General features: G+C 37.9%; 1 protein-coding gene across 13 annotated transcripts in view; it reads right to left on the bottom strand.

The window, feature by feature from the left end:
- RANBP17 (RAN binding protein 17) overlaps positions 1 to 20,136 on the bottom strand; it is a 437,998-nt gene that overhangs the window by 22,340 nt on the left and 395,522 nt on the right. For 10 of the 13 annotated variants that reach the window (XM_011534627.2, NM_022897.5, XM_017009738.2 and 7 more), the window contains one exon: positions 11,829 to 11,995. The exons of 1 other annotated variant lie outside the window; for it this stretch is intronic. In XM_011534627.2, coding sequence (XP_011532929.1) covers positions 11,829 to 11,995 — 167 coding nt within the window. Of the gene's footprint in view, positions 1 to 6,057; positions 6,526 to 11,828; positions 11,996 to 20,136 lie in introns of those variants that run through there. 2 more of the 13 variants (XM_017009741.3, XM_017009742.3) reach the window with 1 other exon arrangement.

Genomic DNA, 20,136 nt, shown 5'->3' with positions numbered 1-20,136 from the left:
GACATAAATATATATATATATATATATATATATATATACATACATATATGTATACGTAAGGCACTTAGCACACAGCCTAGCATATAATTGATTCTAGTGGTTTTTTTTTTCATCATAATCATTCTTATTAAAATTCTCTGTTCGAGCCTGAGGTTTTCCTTCTATAGCGACATCTTATGTCCCAGAAACCCTGCAGGAAATAAGGCTTCTGTTACAGAATGAAGGAAATGCTTAGGTCTTCAAGAAGGATGTATGAAGGTTCTTTGGAATAGTATGGTAAGAAAACATTACTGAATCATTATTTTCTGGCCAAGGTAGCCATCCTTTTTGTGGTAGTCATACAGATTTAGGATCTGTCTGGTAAGTCTTAGGCTAGCTTCGTGTGATGCAGGGAGACGATCCTAGGTGTCATTTTCTTATGTCATAAAAACAATAAGAGTAGAAAGGCTGCACTTGTATCAAAACTTGGGAGTGCAAGTGAAATCCTAAATAACTTCTATGTGTGAAATAGACATAAATGCTGCTATCTGTGTTATGTTAGCATAAAGACACAGATGTTCTCTGCAGTGCTTCTTTTTCTGAGAATTCTTAAGAAAAAAAAAAAAAGACAAACCAAAAATCACTGAATGTCAACAGATAAAAGCAATTCCTTTTGAATACATATTGTTAAAACGCTTCCCAGAGTTGGGGTTAGTATTTAATCTATGGGTTAGAAATTTTCCTTGCAGAGGTTTTTTTTTTTTTTTTTTTTTTTTTTAAGATACATTTAGTGAATTCTTTTTATTCTTGATTTAAAATAATAGCAATTATGCCAACCACTATTAATGAAGAGGTTAAAAACCATTTTGGTTGCCATTTGCCATACTTGTGAGTGACTGTTATAAAGCATGCCTAATTATTATTGGGCTAACCCTGTGTAGCTGTCCTTTCTTCCCTTATGAAATATTCTCTATCTGCTTTACATGAATGTGAGCAAAAAGGTATGGCTGTTGTTTATTTTTTTACCACTCCTTTGCTATCCTGAGAACATTTGTTGCAGACTAATAGCTAAACTGTAGATAAAAGAGAGATGACAGATTACAGTCCCCTTTAATTTATAAGGAAAGCATTTGGAGCCCCTGAGAATACCAAATCAGGCCACTGGCACCCAATGACTTCACACTAAGTTCCAAACCACATCATATTTTTTAGTTTAAAGACAAAGCCAAATGGATACGTGGCTTATGTATTCCAAATTCTTCTTCACAAAGAGCTGGCTTCTTTTTTTCTTTTAGCTCCTTGTAAAACATTATAATTCCCCTATTCTATAAACATACAAATATAATTGTAAAATGACATCATTCTGTTTTCATTTAATTACCCCTGAAATGCTTTCTATTTAATATTCATTACTCAAAAGCTAATTTAAAAGAGAAAGAGATGTGACTTATTCAAAAAGATGTACTGTCATTCACAGCAATAGTTATCTAATATACAGAAGTTAATAAAGCAGATTAATCTACAAGTCCCTTTAAGCCATTCTTGAGTTTTGAACAACTGCCTCTTTGACCTTTCACCTTCATGCTGTGCACCAGTAGCAGGTGCCAGCTGTACAGAAATTATGGCTGCTGTGTTTGGACGCAAAATCTTTTCTTACTTTGCTTCTGACCAGCAGCTGACCCTGTAGGAGTGATTGTTTCTGGTGCCGGCCTAAAGGCTACATAAACCAGTAGCAGATAAACAAAAGGCTACATATACCAGCTGCCTTGCCTAAGGGTACCATCCTAGACTGACACCTCCACTCCTTCTTCAGCGTTCCAAATTGCTCCTTGTTTGTTTCCATACGTGCATTTCATCCATGTTATTTTGTGTGAGGGGTGGGGGTAGGGGAACCTCCCCACCAAAAACAACAACAAAAAAACCCTCTGCTCCCTCGAACTTGACTTTTGAGTATTCCATGTCAAACTGTGCCATTATAATGCTAATCTAGGCCTGATTTAGCAACTTTAATAAGAGGCTAAACCCTCTTGTAATTAGACAATAAAATTTTATTATGTATTTTAATATTAAAAGTCTTAAAATCAAACTCTTCAAATCATACACTGGCACAAAACTAAGGTGCTTAAATATCATAGCCTCAGAAAATGGGAACCTGAAAAAGCACATTGTGGCTAATTTTTCATTCTCCGAAATGTAAACATGGAATTCCTATGTGGTAATAGTGAAAGCTCCAATACTCTTAATTATGTACAGGAAGAATGAATCTATTCAAGTATGAAGCACACTGTACCATTTCCAGCAACAGCATGAGATGACTTTGACAGTTATTTCTTGGATACAAATTACACAAGTATAAAAACAATCCCCATAATGATTAAATGCAGTTATGTACATAGGAGAATACCAGTGCAAATGGTAACATATTTAAATGGTTTTCCTTCATTAAAAAAATTATATATGATATTAAACCATCAATCACTGCTGAGGCACAGGAGTTTAAATGTATTGTCACTGGCTGAAATAAATGACTTGGAGACTGGATTCTGGCTCACTCAATATGGTGTCTTTGCTGTTGCTTAGTCACCCAACTCTCTGCTGGTTTGGGTACATCTGGTGGATTCCATCCCTTTCAATTAATAAGGCAAGTTATGCTATCAATGGGTTACATCCTTAAACTGTGCTTAGAGGTAGAAAAACACATGTCCTAGTGGGGGTTGGGAAGGGGGTTCCTCTCTGTTCTGTTAACCATTTGGAACAATATTTGAAGTACTTTTTTCTTTCTTCACCCATGTTTAGAATAAAATTTTCTTGTAGAAGTTCAGCAGGGTTATTCTATAGTATATTATGATATAATCTTCTCTTAGCATTTCCATTTGGTTTATTATGTAGCAGTCTATGACTACACTAGGTTTGATACTTAAAATCATTGCCTGCAGATCATACTTCTGAAAACTAATATTTTGGGGGTTTACTTTGCAAACACTTATTGACTATCATGAAGTGTCAGGCTCTGGTAGGTGCTGGGACAAGTATCAGGATGTAGGTGATCTCTGAGGGAGAAAAAAATCACTCTATAAATATGTATTCTTATGGCTACAATGTTAATTTGATGACTTATAAATCAATAACAAATATATTTTTTAATTGCTTTTTCTGTTTTAAAATACCAATTTTGTTACCATTGAAATAGTCATTCATCAAATATTTCTATAATAAAAATTAAATTAAAATAGCAAAGATATGGTTAATAACAAAGGATCTGGACTAGATCATTCTTGAAAAGATAGATAAGTACTTTCATAACATCATAGGTAAAATGTCATCTTAATATTAAAAAAACTAGTGTTTCTCTATTTTTAAATTATAAGCATTAACTTTCTAAACGGATCTCTTGAGGCAATGGTCACAAATTTTTCATTCTTAAGAGGTTTACTCTCTTTTGGACTTTTATTACCTGGTTGTTACCTAGATACTTTTGTCCAGTCCCAGACCTCTTATTTTATTTTGATCCTCAGTAGTTAGATTTTGCGCACGCGCGCGCGCGCGCACACACACACACACACACACACACACACACACACACACTTGATCAAACTAAACTTTATTTTTATCTCAAACAAACCTGGCTATTTTGAAGAAAAAGAAAGTTTGAAAAGTATTAGGTCAGTTTCACTTCATCGCCTGTTTATTGTATTCCTTGTGTGCAAAGATGTAACCCAAAAGTGATAAAATGGCCCCTTTAAGTTCCAGTAGACAAGTATAGTAAAAGTAAAAGCAAGAGCAAAATAAATTAAGAAATAACCCCCAAAGCCCCAGATTAAGTAAAATCAAAATAACTACATCCTTTTAAAACTAACCAAAAAAGTATGCTTCAGAAGTTTAAAAAGAACCAGATGGAAATAAAAATATCACTGTAGCAGTGCTGTTTGGGTTGGCTGTGAGAAATACAAGGTAACATGCACTGGGAGATCTTAGTTCTGAAATTCCTTAAGATTGTATACTACAGAAGTGGAAAGCTGGTATCCAGGCATACAGTGTTGGCCTGCCAAATGTTTCAATTTTTTGTTTTTTAATTTTCAATCAGTGGCTACATTTAAAATCTGAATTTCTGGCTGTTTTTCAAGGGAGAAATTTCAATGTATCTGGCAACACTGGGTCTGACCTTCTTATAAGGCAACAATTAGCTGGAGGTGTGCTGAGGCTGCCCCCTTTAGACAGAGATGTGCACTCAACTTGAGGATTCCTTCATGTCTACCTCATTCAGGTTTTCTGCTTCTTGGCCCTACAGGCATCTTAGTTTGTGACACCTGGTATAGTTATAATGGGTAGGAAAGTGAGAAGGAGGGTCAAAGGAACTCAGGTGTAGATTCAGACCTTAAGAATGACCACTGATAGAGTTAATGGTACTCAACAGCAGAAATTTCCTTTAGAAAACAGAAGCAGTTTACAACCAGAAAGAGGTTAAAAATGGCATTCTATGCTGATGAATCAGTGGTGAAAGTCAGGACAATGAAGAGAGATGTGCTGGATACGGGAGAGAGATGCAAAGCACATGGTGCTTCCCTATCATCATTTCACAGCTGCCATATTGATTCTGTCCTGGAAAAATCAGGTTAAACCTCAAGAGCTACCTCGGAGGCATTAAAGAAAAGTCACAAAGGGCATTATAACACAGCTGTACAACTAGATTCTGACCTTCTCAAGACTACGTGTCCTACTAAATTATATACCTTCAACATCTGGCTATAAAATTAATGAATGGGTGTGGGTGTAGCGTAAGAAAGTGGAAGCTTGGTTAGGTCTGTCTTGGTGGTGGTGGGAGCCACAGGGCTTTTTCTGCAGCAACTGCAAAGCCACTTCCTTCTCTCTTGCCCGCTGCCTCTTTGGGTCACTGCCCATCTGTTTTGTCCTGGCTGTAGTATAATGCTGGGGTATAGAATGACTGCTTTAAACCATTCTACCTTAAGGATGGCCCCAGTGGGACTTACTGGAAGCTCAACTTGCCTCATTTTATGTGCTCAAAACATACATACTTTAGATTAGAAGCCACTAAACAAAGGAACAGAGATAGCTTTGTGTTTAAGCATGTGAACCCCACAGTTAAACAGATTTCAGCTAAAATTTTAGTTCTTCCAGTTACTGACTTTGTGACCTTGGGAATGTTTCCTATTTTTTTTTGTGCCTCAGTTTCTATATCTGTAAAATGGTAATGATAATACTACACCTTCACAAAGATACTGTCATGATTAAACCAGATAATGCATATGTAAGTAAGTTAAGCTAGTGCTTGCAGATAGTAAGCACTTACATTTGAAAAATTTTATTTCTTAAATTTCTAAATTTTAAAGCTTTTATTTTAGGTTCGGGGTACATGTACAGGTTTGTTATATAGGTAAACCACATGTCACAGGGGTCTGGTGTACAGATTACTTTGTCACGCAGGTAATAAGCACAGTACCCCCAATAGGTAGTTGTTTGATCTTCACCCTCCTCCAACTCTCCACTCTCAAGTAGGCCCCGGTATCTGTTGTTCCCTTCATGTCCATGTGTACTCAATGTTTAGCTCCCACTTGTAAGTGAGAACATGCTGTATTTAGTTTTCTGCTTCTGCGTTAGTTCGCTTAGGATAATAGCCTCCAGCTCCATCCATGTTGCTGCAAAGGACATGATCTCTTTCTTTTTGATGGCTGTGTAGTACTCCATGGTGTATATATGTACCACATTTTCTATCCCATCAACCACTGATGGGCATTTAGGTTGATTCCATGTGCTATTGTGAATAGAAGCACTTACATTTTGCCAATATTATTTTTCTTCCCACTATGTATATGCATAATATATGCATTGATTGCTGTTAAAACCAAGATTGTAGCACCATGTGCAAAAATTCTGTTATGAAATTTGAGTTCCTATTTTCCAATTTCAGTGTCTAATGACATATCCCTGGCTTCCTTTAAACTTTTTAAATCCGTTATTACCTGATCCAGTTGTGAATGTTCTTTCAGTTTGTTTTTGATATCAATATACTACTGTATTATTGAGAATAAAGTTGTAAATCAACCAGAGAGAGCTAATGGGTTACATAAAGAGCATATTTTTTATTTAAGGATCACTGGAAATGTCTTTATTAACATTAGAAAATCTGACTATTCTTTTTAAGAGGACAAGAGATATGACTGTATTTCATCTGCTTAAGTGTTTTTGACTGTAATAGTCTTGCTAAGGTTCCTGTAGGCCAAAATCTCAACATCAGTTAAATATGCGACTGCATTTTCTCCTACTCAGTATTATGGAATGGAATCTTAAGTATGAAAGATGTCTTGGTTAGTATGTCAAAATGTTGAGCAATATCATTTCAGTCTAAACACAGAAATGAAAAAAGAGCAGATGATTTCCCTTTTGCTGTAATTCACTTTGGGATGCATGTCATGAAGAGCACTATACAAAAGCAATTTTCATTGACTGACTGACTGATTGAGGAAAAGGGTGAATGTTCTTTCAGCTTAAGTCCCTACTGAAGTATGATTTTTATAGCTCCTGACAGCTCTTCACAATTTGTAGTTAAATGCCATGTTAGCAAAAAAAAAAAAAAAAAAAAAAAAAAAAAAAAAAAAAAAAAAAGAAATAACATAAAAAGGAGGGAGAAAAGGGAGAAAAGGGAGAGAAAGAAAATCACAATTAGAATTTCTTTTGGATTTCAGTACAGTTGATTTGAGCAAAATAGATAAATAGACAAGAGTAAGATGAATTCAACCCTAACTGCTCTAATTCCTCTATGCAATATATTAAGGTTTTCAAGACGATAATTGCTAAAAATACACTCTTAACAAATTAATTGCGTAATAGTTCTTGCTAATTTCTGTGGAAGGTGTTACTCTTTCTAGAGCAATTAGTTTTAACTGGAATTCTGATTTAGAGAAGCTTTCAGGATCAGTGTCTTATTCTAATAATCTTATAAGGAATTACTCATATCTCTGAGATGCCCCTCTAATTCTATAAAACACACCCTTTCATTACCTAATTTGGGCAAAATCTTTCACTGTGATATAACGAAATGAATGCTATGTATCTATAACTATGTATTATAGATACAAATACTTACTGATCAGTGACGAAACTGAAAAAATTTCACATAGAAATGTTGTCTTCCGAATTATTGTAGCAGATCAGTGTCTTATCTGCTACTAATCAGTAGTAATTAGTAATCTGATCACTGTTACGGTTGGGCTCTCCTTAAATTTTTAGTTTATCCTTCTAATAACATAAAAATGCTTGGAGAATTTTCCACCTTCATTTCTGTAAACTGGGTTTTTCTCAACTGTTAGGTCAAAGCAACGCTGGTGACGCAATTGTTTTTACTTCAAATAGATTCACTTACTTACAATGGATCTTCATATGGACTAAATTTTAATGCTTGCAAAGTTAGAGTTGTTTGCAAAATATGAAAAATGGATTATTTGGAGAACATTTTTAAAAATTTTGAAGCTCTAAAGCCACATAGAAGAGAATAATAAACACAATTCCAGGTGGGAGGCACATAAAATATCTTTCCCAGGCTGCTATACACAAATGGAAAGGCCTGTAAGGATGTTGGAAAACCTTTATGTGGGGGTTCATGCTTCCTTTACTACGGAAGCTTGAGGAGATAACTTTTGCAATTTGGAATTAACATTCCTCATGCAATTATGCTTCCAGCAAAATAGGACCAGGTTGGGGGGAAAAACAGTTCAAACTAGTAAATAATTGCAGTATCATTGCATCAGTTTAGTTTAAAGAGCTGACAAACCCTCTCTAAACTCCAAGCACAATTAGTCATTAGGGTCTAGTTTTTCAGCACTGTTAAGCAATTTGTAATCCATTCCTTTTAATAGGGTTAGGCATTACTTAACCGACACAGATGCCTTGAAAACTGAAACCTCAAGTTATAAAGCAGCAACCTTGTTCATTACCTTCTGCAATAGGCAAATCATCTATTAAAAACAGCATTTAATGGGCAACCAATGAATAATCAATGGCTCACTTTTCATCTGAGTGTGAAAATGAAAATAATCCAATACAAAATCCCACTGGTAACAGGCTGAATCTTGGGTTCTGCTCCTCTTCAGGGCTGATTTATAAGGTCTTGGAAAGCTGATGTAAACAGATGATCAATGGGACCCATCCCTGCTAATAATAACCCCCAACTGGCCCACTCCCTCTTTTTCAAGTCCATCCCTTCAGGCTATTAGTTCTGTCCAGCTAATTCTTCCCACTACTCCTGCCTGCCGCTTTTACTCTGGCCATCCGTTCAGTCCAGCCGACTCAGAAGTAATTTTATACGCAGCAGAGAGCGGGTGGAATTGATTTTTCACTCAGCACTCTGTTCCCATCTGAATAATTATCAATTTTACTGCCTCATAAAGGGAAGAGTCAAAATTTCAAATCAATTCAAAAGAGCTTTTGAGACGACAGAAACTGTGCATAAGAATAGAGGTCAAAGTTGTCAGTAACCTAAGGAGATGATGTCAGATATTACTATACCTAATAGCTGACATCAGAGGCACTCAAGATGATATAACCTAGTGCTAATGCAAATCATATTTATGCTGACTACCAGAGCCCAGTCATTAATATTTAAAATGCTATCTGAAAGCCTACATTCCAAATAAATAGAAAGTATTCCACTGTTAATAAAGATATATCACTACTTAGTCATATGCTATAAAGTGAAGGATTAACAAGTATTATTAACACACAGAAATTACTTAAACCAACAAATGCACGCTAATTCTGAGTAAAGACAAACTTGATTTGTCTCCTGCCCAACCACATTACTTCCTTTGCAAAACATGATATGGTATTTTGTCTAGGGCCATAGCCTGTTGATTTGTGCTAAAATTTTCTACCAACTTAAAAGTTTCTGCCAAAGTTTATGGGACAATACTGTGATTATGGTTGAGTGCTGGAAGGAGTGATTTGGTGGCAGACTTGTCCCTTGCCATGGTGGGGTAAAGGCTGGGTCTGATTCCTAGCCAATCCATGAATTTTTTTTTTTTCTTCAGTGTGGACATGCTTTAAGTCAGTGATCCTCAACCTTCTTCATGCAAAACACATGAGGGCTGTGACACACTCCCACCAGTACCAGTGGTTACTGCATTTGGGTGGGGTGGGGAGGGAGGAGAGACGCGCTGACATTTTGATAGCATGTATATTTTGAAAAGCCATTCCAGGTGAAGCTGAGATATTATCCTCACCTTGAATACCAATGGTGTGAGTAGTAAGAACTTGCGCTTTTCAGTCAAACAGACCTTGCTTCAAATTCCAACTCTACCACTTTCCAGTTGATCTCTCTGTACCTCAATTTATTCATCTGTAAAATGGGGATGCTGATATCCATTTTTCAGGGTTGTTGTGGGGTCTAAATGAGGAGAACTCTTTGACAATACTCCCTCCCCTTGAATTTTACTTTCTTTGTCATCACTATATTAATGAAATGATCAAATAACTGGTGAGTTACTTGTCTCTTTGTCCCATGGCAAGAAATTTTGTAAGGAGAGAAATTATATCTCGTGAATCTTAATAGCTCTTGCACCTGACACATAATAAGTTCTCACTAAATGTGAGATACCTTCCTTTTTCCTTTATATTACCAACATGTTGTAACAGTTCCAGGGTCACACCAAATAATTATAAGTCTACAGCCCTTTGCCTAGTTACACAAAATATGAATGACATCCATTATCCCTGGAAAATAATTGGTTAACTGAAACATTACCACAAATAAAGTTTACATAATTTCATTTAAATATTAGCAAAAAATGGCAGCCAGGAAGGAACCTTCTTTCATAGCTGTCTCATTCTATTTTCATCATTTACTGATATAGAGTGACATTTTCTTTTTCTTTTTCTTTTTTTTTTGAGATGGAGCTCTGTCGCCAAGCTGGAGTGCAGTGGTGTGATCTCGCTCACTGCAACCTCTGCTTCCCAGGTTCAAGCAATTCTCCTGCCTCAGCCTCCCACATAGCTGGGAATACAGGCACACACCACCATGCCCAGCTAATTTTTGTATTTTTAGTAGAGACAGGGTTTCGCCATATTGGCCAGGCTGGTCTCGAACTCCTGACCTCATGATCCACCTGCCTTGGCCTCCCAAAGGTGCTGAGATTACAGGCGTGAGTCACTGCGCCCGGCCAACATTTTCTGATGATTGCAGGCAACTTATTTGCTCCCTAACGGTCATATAGCAACACACTATTGATGTGTTTACATTTGCAAATTACAAACTATTATGGATGTAATTTGGCAAAAGAAAACAACTGAAAACAGGATGAAGATACTTTCCAAATTTAGTGGAATTAGAAAACACAGTGATAGGGCTAGGTGCAGTGGCTCACACCTGTAATCCCAGCACCTTGGGAGGCTGAGGTGGGAGGACTGTTTGTGCTCAGGAGTTCAAAACTAGCCTACTAGCCTGGCAACGTGGCAAAACTCCTTCTCTCCAAAAAAAAAAAAAAAAATTAGCTGGATGTGGTGGTGTGCACCTGTAGTCCCAGCTACTCAGGAAGAGGCTGAAGTGTGAGGATCGCTTGAGACCTTGAGAGACAGAGGTTGCAGTGAGCCCAGATTGTGCCACTGCACTACAGCAAAGGCAACAGAGTGAGACCCTGTCTCAAAAAAAAAAAAAAAAAAAAGAAAAGAAAATATAGTGATGGTATAGCCATAAAAAATGGTATTGTTCTTTTTGAAATATTTTTGGCATGTATGTTTTTTTAAAAATTTTTAAATTTTCTTTTTTCTTTTTTTTTGAGATGGAGTCTTGCTCTGTCATCCAGGCTGTAGTGCAGTGGTGTGATCTCAGCTCACTGCAACCTCTGCCTCCCCAGGTTCACACGATTCTTCTGCCTCAGCATCCCGACTAGCTGGGACTACAGGTGAGCACCACCACGCCTGGCTAATTTTTGTATTTTTAGTAGAGATGGGGTTTGACCATATTGGTCAGGCTGGTCTTGAACTCCTGACCTGGTGATCTGCCTGCCTTGGCCTCCCAAAGTGCTGGGATTACAGGCATGACCACCGTGCCTGGCCTAAATCTTCTTTTTTAGAGATGGGGTCTTGCTATGTTGCCCAGGCTGGTCTTGAACTTCTGGGCTCAAGCAATCCTCCTGCCTCTGCCTCTGGAGCAGCTGGTACTACAGGTACTGCACCTTGCAATATTCATTTCTTATGCATGCCGTTACTATTATTTGCACAAGTGAGTTTTTAAAAAATGGTATTAAACTTGGACCTAACCCATTAGCTAGTTAGAACATACACTAGAAAATAAACAAATAGTGGTTTTATTACTTATTAGTTAGATGTTATTGAACATATTACCTAACCTATCTGAACCAAGATTTCTCATTTTAAAATGGGAAAAATAGCAACTATGATATGATGAATGAGAAATTCCTAGCAAGCTGCCTGGCATACACTAGGAGCCCAGCAAATTGTAGTTTCCCAATATACCGGAGTATTCATAAGGCAAACTTAAGATGACATTATCAGAGTCACCAGGAGAGAAATCAGAGGCTGACTGTTTCCAGTTCCGGTTTTGTCTAATTTTTCTCAGGCCTCTGGAAAAACTATCCTCTTTTTGAATTCTAGCTCCACTGAGGTGAGATGAACAACCCAGGTATTTCTTGAGGGTGGGTAATCCTAAGGCCTGTGTTTTCCCTCCACGTTCAGGGAAAATACTCCCAGACAATATATATATATATTTTTTACCAGTATAAAAAGTCTTGGCAAGACCAGCTGCTCTAAGATAAATTCGGGGCCAGGTATGGCTTCTGGGAACACTTGTTTCTTAAGCCAGGTGATCAACCACCAGTTACCTGCTGCAGGACATCTGGGTTTTGCTGCATAAAATGTAATAGTCTCTGACCAGCCTGGGTAGCCTCTCTGCATCGAAGTGGCTTCTTGCCCTCTTTTGCTATGTGCTTGAAGAGGTAGGTGACGATGTAGTCTAAACTGGTACAGCAGCTGGAGGAGACAACTGTATCTGTACAAATAGTAAATAAGAATTCATTTGCATTACTTAAGTTTTTGCTCCATTTGATTTTCTAACGGCTCCATTAAAAATAATTACTTTCTGGTTTCAAAGTGCTTTTATCAAATTGCAAGTTCTTTGAGGGCAGGAATTTGTTTTTTTGAGACAGAGTTTCATTATTGTCACCCAGGCTAGAGTGCAATGGCGTGATCTTGGCTCACTGCAACCTCTGCCTCCTGGGTTCAAGCGATTCTCCTGCTTCAGCCTCCTGAGTAGCTAACAGGTGCCTGCCACCACACCTGGGTAATTTTTGTATTTCTAGTAGAGATGGGGTTTCTCCATGTTGGTCAGGCTGATCACAAACTCCTGACCTGAGGTGATTCACCCGCCTTGGCCTCCCAAGGTGCTGGGATTATAGGCATGAGCCACCGTATCCAGCCAGGAATTTGTCTTATATAACTCTTTGAACCCAGTGTCTATTATAGGTCCTGGCCTAGAGACACATAAATAAATAATTCCTGGATAGATTAGGCAGATTTTTCCATCTGCGACCTTAACAACCTCTTTTCAGTTCAAGTGACTGTTTATTAAGTATCTACTTAGTGCAAAGTGCTCTGTTTTACAGGAAACAGTGGTCTAACCTCATCCTGGTGTCAAAGAACTCATGGTTTAGTGTGCAAGTCACTGTAGCATAATGCTGTGTAAAAATGACAAATTGAGGATTTTGAGGGACGGATCACATTTAGATGGGGATCAAGGAGAGTTTGGTGAAGGAGGCAGCACCTGATAGGGTTTCAAAAGATTATTCCAATTAGACATAAGGAAGGACACTTTTCAGGTAGAGGGATTAGCACAAGGCAACAGTGTGGTGGGAAAGATATGGATTTTGGAGCCAGACAGTTCTGGTTTCAAGTCCTATCTTTGCCAATTACTTTCTGAGTTGCTGATCTGAAAGAGCTACTTCACGTTTTTTCACCATTTATAAAAGACCTTGCAGAGTTGAATGAGAAGAAAATGACAAGAAGTTCATTGGTAATAAAAAAGCTGACATTTATTAAGAGCTTACTATGAGTTACTGTGTTAACTGCTTTACATGTTATTATTTTTAATTCTCATACAGCACTATAATAGTTACTGTTATTATCTCCATTTACAGGTGAGGACACTGAGTTTTAGGGAGCTTAGGTGACTTGTCCATTGTCACACAGCTAGAAGACTGCACAGCCAAGGTATGAAAATAAACAAGGAGTTGAACTCTGGATCTGTACTCTTTTTGAAAATTTTATTGTATTTTTTTTTCCAATAATTTTTGGGGAATAGGTGGTTTTTGGTTACATGAATAAGTTCCTTAGTGGCAGTTTCTGAGATTCTGGTGCACCCATCACCCAAGCAGTGTACACTCTACCCATTGTGTAGTCTTTTATCCTTCACCCCACCTACCTTCCTTCTACCTGAGTCCCCAGAGTCCACTGTATCATTCTCATGCCTTTGCGTCCTCATAGCTTAGCTCCCACTTATCAATGGGAACATACGACATTTGTTTTTTCTGGATCTGTATTCTTAACCACTACATTAAAACTAGGTAATAAGCAAAAATATATGTAAGCACCAAACACCTTTTTGTTGTTGTTGAGATAGGTTCTCACTCTGTCACCAAGGCTGAAGTGCAGTGGTGTGATCTTGGCTCACTGCAGCCTTGACCTCCTGAGCTCAAGTGATCCTCCCACCTCAGCCTCCCAAGTAGCTAGGACTGTAGCTGTGCACTACCATGCCTGGCTACTTTTTGTATTTTTTGTAGAGACAGGGTTTTGCATGTTGCTCAGGCTGGCCTTGAACTCCTGAGCTCAAGCGATCTGCCAGCCTCAGCCTCCCAAAGTGCTGGGATTATAGATGTGTGCTACCATGCCCAGGCTAAAACACCTTCTTGAATCACAATGGGCACTCAAAACATGGCAGTAACTACTGGTTTGCCTCATGGTAAAAAGAGAAGGGTATATTCAAGAAGTAGAACTTTTGGTTTCAGAGAGTGAATGTGTAGAGGAGATGTAAGAGAAGGCCAACAGAGCAGGTTGAGGATCTTACTTGAGGGCATCCAATAGTGGAGTGCGACATTTACATTTAATATGAAAGGTTAATGGAGGTGTTACTGACAAGTAAGTGATAGAGCAACCATTTATTATCTCCTTTGTACACTAAAATTATTATCTCATTTACTTCTAACAACTACTTGGTATAGTAAGTATAATTTGCATTTTAAATGAGAAAACTGAAGCTTAGAGATTAAGTTGCTTATCAGAAGTCCATGGTTTTGAATCAGCATGACACCACCCACATTTTTTGGCTGACAACATTTGCACATGATCCCTGGGAGTTTATGATTAGTAAGAGAAACAGTTAACAAGAGCAACAGTTAAAATGGTGAGCAGGTAGACTCAGAAGAGGAGAAGGAGACTAAAAGAGTAGGGTTGGGAAGCAGATTATAAACTTCCTAAGGGAGTAGTTTCTCATTCATCTTATTCATCTCTGAGGTTCTGAGACATATGTATGCCTGACGTAGATTACAGGTGAAATATCAGCAGAATTAATTAAAGAATGAGTAGCTAAAGCTAACCCCAGAAAGTTTTCTTAGAAGTCTTAAGTTGTGTTTAGTAGTAAAACCCAGCATTGATAAAACACTACAGTTTAAAAGCTCACATTTATCATTTTAGAGAGAAATGTCATGGAAAACAGAAAGAGGGAAGTTTTGGGGCAAGTTTTGAAATACAGTCGTATGCATTTAACACAGAGGAAAATGGTAGCTAATACAGGATCATGAGGGATGAGGGGTTGAATGGAGGTCTAGAAGACAGCCGTGGACCATAGTTTTGGAAAACTGTGGAACTACAAAGCTTTTAAGAAAGGAGCTTTTCCAAAGGTTGGTTAATGGATACAAAAGTATAGCCAGATAAGAGGAATAAGTTGCAGTGTTCTGTAGCACTAATAAGGTGACTATAATGAGCAATTTGTTATATATTTTTGAGTAGCTAAAAGAGCAGATTTTGAATGTTCCCAACACAAACAAATGATAAATGTTTGCAGTGATGGATACCCTAAATGGTCATTACACAGTGTATACCTATATCAAATATCACATGGTACTCCATAAATATAAAAAATTATCAAGTGTCAATTAAAAATAATAAAAGCCAAAAATAGAGCTTTCCCTCCTAAAGACATGGCATTTGATTGATTAATCAATAACTGATTAATTAGTTAATTTCTTCTGCATCTCTCCGTATTAACTGGGTTACTTTGTAGAAAAGGGAGCTTTGGTTTTACAACTCTGGGATGTAGCATAGTATAAATGGAAAATGTCTAGGCCTAAAAGTCAAATACAGACTTGTTGAGCCTGGTTGCTTTTCTCTTTTCCTTCATATTTCTACATTTCAAGTCCCAGTCACGAAAGTAAATGGATTATGTAACTCGACATCTACAAAGATAAGCAGGAAGCAGATATGGTTCCCCTCACCAGTGAAAAGCAATATGCTATCAATCATATAAAAATTATAAAGACTTCACATAGATTTGGTGACCACATGCCATGCAGGTTGCATTAAAAGGTTCCCATCTACTGAGTCAGCTGTGAAAAAGCCAGGTAAACACTTTAGCCACGAAGATTGGAGCATATATCCTCGCAATAAAAGCAAGAAGAGCTTCCATTATGGTTGATTTATGGTTGAGGACTTTGAAAAAGATAAATGTTATTTTCAAGGTAGATTTTAAAGTGTGGAATCATAAGGATCACAGGGCATTTGGTCAAAAACAGAATGAATGGTGCTGAAGACTATGTGTTAACTATTGGTTTTCTTTATTTGCAGCTCAAGCTACTATGTGAGATTCAAATCATGATATTTTCCAGACATAAAACACAGGCAGAGGTCATGAATTTTCATATTTTGTCCTAGTTCTTGGTGTTTAAAATATTTTAAAAGGGATTACATCTGCAATTTTGGAAATAATTTTTAAGCCTAATAGGCATTTTGTCCTCTGTAGCAACTTGTTGTTTGGCATTGAAAACAATCAAGTGCTTCTCTTCTGGAACCAGTCTCCACAGGAAGCACATGCATCATTAATAGCCTACTGCTCACTAAGACCCATCATTGAAAGCTGTGCTGAAAAGTTAACTGTATAGGAAAGAATTGCTTAACTGAGAATCAGGAAGAATGAGGCTGAACCGAAATCTGCCTTAAGCTCAAAACTTGTCACCACAACACAAAGGAGAATGAAGGTCTTAGAAAAATATAGTCTGAAGGGCAATTCCAGAGACAAAAGGCCTATTTGGGTGGGGCAGTGGTTTTGGAAATAGGTGAGTCTAGGTTTGAATCTATTATTTCCTAGATGCTTGACTTCTTGAGGTTCAGGTGCACCTCTGTAAAATGTGATTAATATTACCTGCTTTGTAAGGTTTGGCATTAAGATTAAGTGGGCAAAAACTGTAATACAGCACCCAACACATACAAGGTTTTCCCTTCCCATTTGTTTTCCTGGCTGTTTCAATCCATTAAACACCAAAGCATTCTTCTCTCTTTAGGGTTTTTTTTTTTTCTTTTGGTTTTTTTTTTTGGGGGGGGTGGGGGGTGAAGCTAATGTGTAAAATCTCTAAGTTCTAAATATTTCCTAAATGTGTCACTCGCATATTACATTCATACCACATGACATCCAATTCAATAATGTGTCCAAAATAACAACATATCCTCTTTTGTTCTTTATATACGTTTTATTAATAATGAACTTCATGGGAAATGATCTAGTAGTTCCTAGTTGGTTCAACTTTTTGCTTGCTCTTACCTTTCCTTGTTTAGGCTTTTAGGCTACCCTTCATTTCTGCTTGAAATGCATCCATCCCTGCTATGACTAATCTTAGAGGCCTTCCTCCATCAGCCTACATTTAGACACTCTCTATCCAACACCCCACTTTGTTTTTTAAATTTGTACAAATTTATAGTGTACATGTGAAGTTTTGTTATAAGTATATAATGCTTTCTGATCAATATATGATACTTAGGGTTTCTGTCACCTGACTACAATACCTTTTTGTTAACTATAGTCACCCTACTCTGCTATCAAACATTCAATTTTTTCCTTCCATCTTACCATGTTTGTACCTTTTAACCTACTTCTCTTCATCCTCTCCCTTGCCCCCACTCACCTTTTCGTCTCTGTTATCTATCTCTTTTTTTTTTTTTTTTTTGAGACGGAGTCTTGCTCTGTTGCCCAGGGTGAAGTGCAGTGATCTCGGCTCACTGCAATCTCCGCCTCCTGGGTTCAAGCTATTCTTACTTCAGCCTCCTGAGTAGCCGCCACCACAGGTGTGTGTGCCACCATGCCCAGATAATTTTTTTTTTTTTTTTTTGAGATGGAGTCTCACTCTGTCACCCAGGCTGGAGCGCAGTGGCGTGATCTCGGCTCACTGCAACCTCTACCTCCCGGGTTCAAGCGATTCTCCTGCCTCAGCCTCCCCGACTAGCTGGGATTACAGGTGCCTGCCACCACGCCCGGCTAATTTTTGTATTTTTAGTAGAGACAGGGTTTCAGTATGTTGGCCAGGCTGGTCTCAAACTCCTGACCTCAAGTGATCTGCCCACTTGGGCCTTCCAAAGTGCTGGGATTACAGGTGTGAGCCACTGCGCCCGACCTAATTTTTATTTTTATTTTATATTTATTTATTGATTTTTGAGACAGTCTCGCTCTGTTGCCCAGGTTGCAGTGCAGTGGCGCAATCTCGGTTTGTCGCAACCTCTACCTCCCAGGTTCAAGCCATTCTCCTGCTGCAGCCTCCTGAGTAGCTGGGATTACAGGCGCCTGCCATCACACCCAGTTAATTTCTGTACTTTTAGTAGAGATGGGGTTTCACCATGTTGGCCAGGCTGGTCTCAAACTCCTGACCTCAAGTGATCCACTGACCTCAGCCTCCCAAAGTGCTGGGATTACGGGCGTGAGCCACCATGTCTGACCCTTGTTATCTATCTTTCCATTCTCTACCTCCACGTGATTAAATTTTTGAGCTCCCACATATGAATGAGAACATGTGGTATCTGTCTTTCTTTGCCTGGTTTATTTCACTTCTCCAGTTCCATCCATGTCGCTACAGAAGACATTATTTCATTCTTTTTTTATGGCTGAACAGTATTCCATTGTGTATGTATACCACATTTTCTTTATCCATTCATCTGTTGATAAGATACTTAGATTGATTCTATGTCTTTGCTACTGTGAATACTGATGTAATAAACATTTGAGTGAGGCAGTCCTGTGATATACTATCTTATTTTCTTTTGGATATACTCCCAGTAGTAGGACTGCTGGATTGAACAGTAATTCTATTTTTAGTTTTTTGAGAAATCTCCATACTGTTTTCCATAGTGGCTGTATTAGTTTACATTCCCACCAACAGTGTACGAGTTTCCTTTTCTCTGCATCCTTGACAACATCTGCTCTTTTTTGCCTTTTTAATAATAGCCATTCTGACAGGGGTAAGATGGTATCTCACTGTGGTTTTGATTTGCATTTCTCTGATGATTAGTGATGTTGAACATTTTTTCACATACATCTTGGCTGTTTGTATATCTTCTTTTGAGAAATGTCTATTCATGTCATTTGCCCAGTTTTAAAGGGAATTATTTGTTTTTTCCTATTAATTGAGTTCCTTATATATTCTGGATATTGGTCTCCTGTTAGATGAATAGTTTATAAATATTCTCTCCCATTCAACAGGTTGTCTGTTTACTCTGTTGGTTATTTCTTTTGTGATTCAGTTTTTAGTTTAATTAAGCCCCATTTGTCTAATTTTTGTTTTTGTTGCTGTGTTTTGGAGGTCTTTGTCATAATTTTTTTGCCTAGATCAATGTTCAGAAGAGTTTTCCCTAGGTTTTCTTCTAGTATTTTTTTAACAGTTTTGGGCTTTAAGTCTTTAATCCATTTTGAGTTGATTTTTTTACATGGTGAGATAGGGGTCCAGTTTCATTCTTCTGCATGTGGCTGCCCAATTTTTCCAGCACCATTTTATTGGAGAGACTGTCCTTTCCCCATTGTGTATTCTTGTCAGCTTTGTTGAAGATCGGTTGGCTGTAAGTATGTGACTTTATTTCTGGGCTCTCTATTCTGTTCCATTGGTTTATGTGTCTGTTTTCATACCAATATCATTTTGCTTTGGTTACTATAGCCTTGTAATATATTTTGAAGTCAGGTAATGCAATGCCTACAGCTGAGTTCTGGTTGGTCAAGATTACTTTGGCTATTCAGGCTCTTTTATGGTTCCACATGAATTTTAGGATTTAAAAAAAAATTCTGTGAAGAAGGATGGTATTTTGATAGGGATTACACTGAATCTATACATTACTCTGGGCAATATGGACATTTTAACAATATTCTTCCGATCCATGAGCATAGGATGTTTTTCCATTTATTTGTGTCATCTTCAACTTCTTTCATCAGTGTTTTGCAGTTTTCCTTGTAGAGATCTTTCACCTTCTTGGTTAAATGCATTCCTAGGGGTGTGTGTGTGTGTGTGTGTGTGTGTGTGTGTGTGTGTGTGTATTTTTTTTTTTTAGATGGAGTTTTGCTCTTGTTGCCAAGGCTGGAGTGCAATGAAGCGATCTCGGCTCACTGCAACCTCTGTCTCCTGGGTTCAAGCGATTCTCCTGCCTCAGCCTCCTGAGTAGCTGGGATTAACAGGCATGTGCCACCATCTCCGGCTAATTTTGTATTTTTAGTAGAGGCGGGGTTTCTCCATGTTGGTCAGGCTGGTCTTGAACTCCCGACCTCAGGTGATCCGCCCACCTCAGCCTCCCAAAATGCTGGGATTACAGGCGTGAGCCACCGTGCCTGGCTTCCTAGGTATTTTATAGCTATTATAAATGGCACTGCCTACTTGATTTCATTCTCGGATAGATCATTATTGGTATATAGAAATACTATTGATTTTTGTACAATGATTTTCTATCCTGCAACTTTAGTGCATTTATTTATCAAATCTCAGTTTTTTGAAATTTTTAGGTTTTTCTGGATATAAGATCTATCATCAGCAAAGAAGGACAATTTGACTTTCACTTTTCCGATCTGGATGCCTTTTATTTCTTCTCTTGCCTCACTGCTCTGGCTAGGACTTTTCGTAC

The sequence above is a fragment of the Homo sapiens genome, chromosome 5, assembly GCF_000001405.40.
Source record: "Homo sapiens chromosome 5, GRCh38.p14 Primary Assembly".
Taxonomy (NCBI): Eukaryota; Metazoa; Chordata; class Mammalia; order Primates; family Hominidae; genus Homo; species Homo sapiens.
This window is presented reverse-complemented; position numbering and strand designations above follow the sequence as displayed.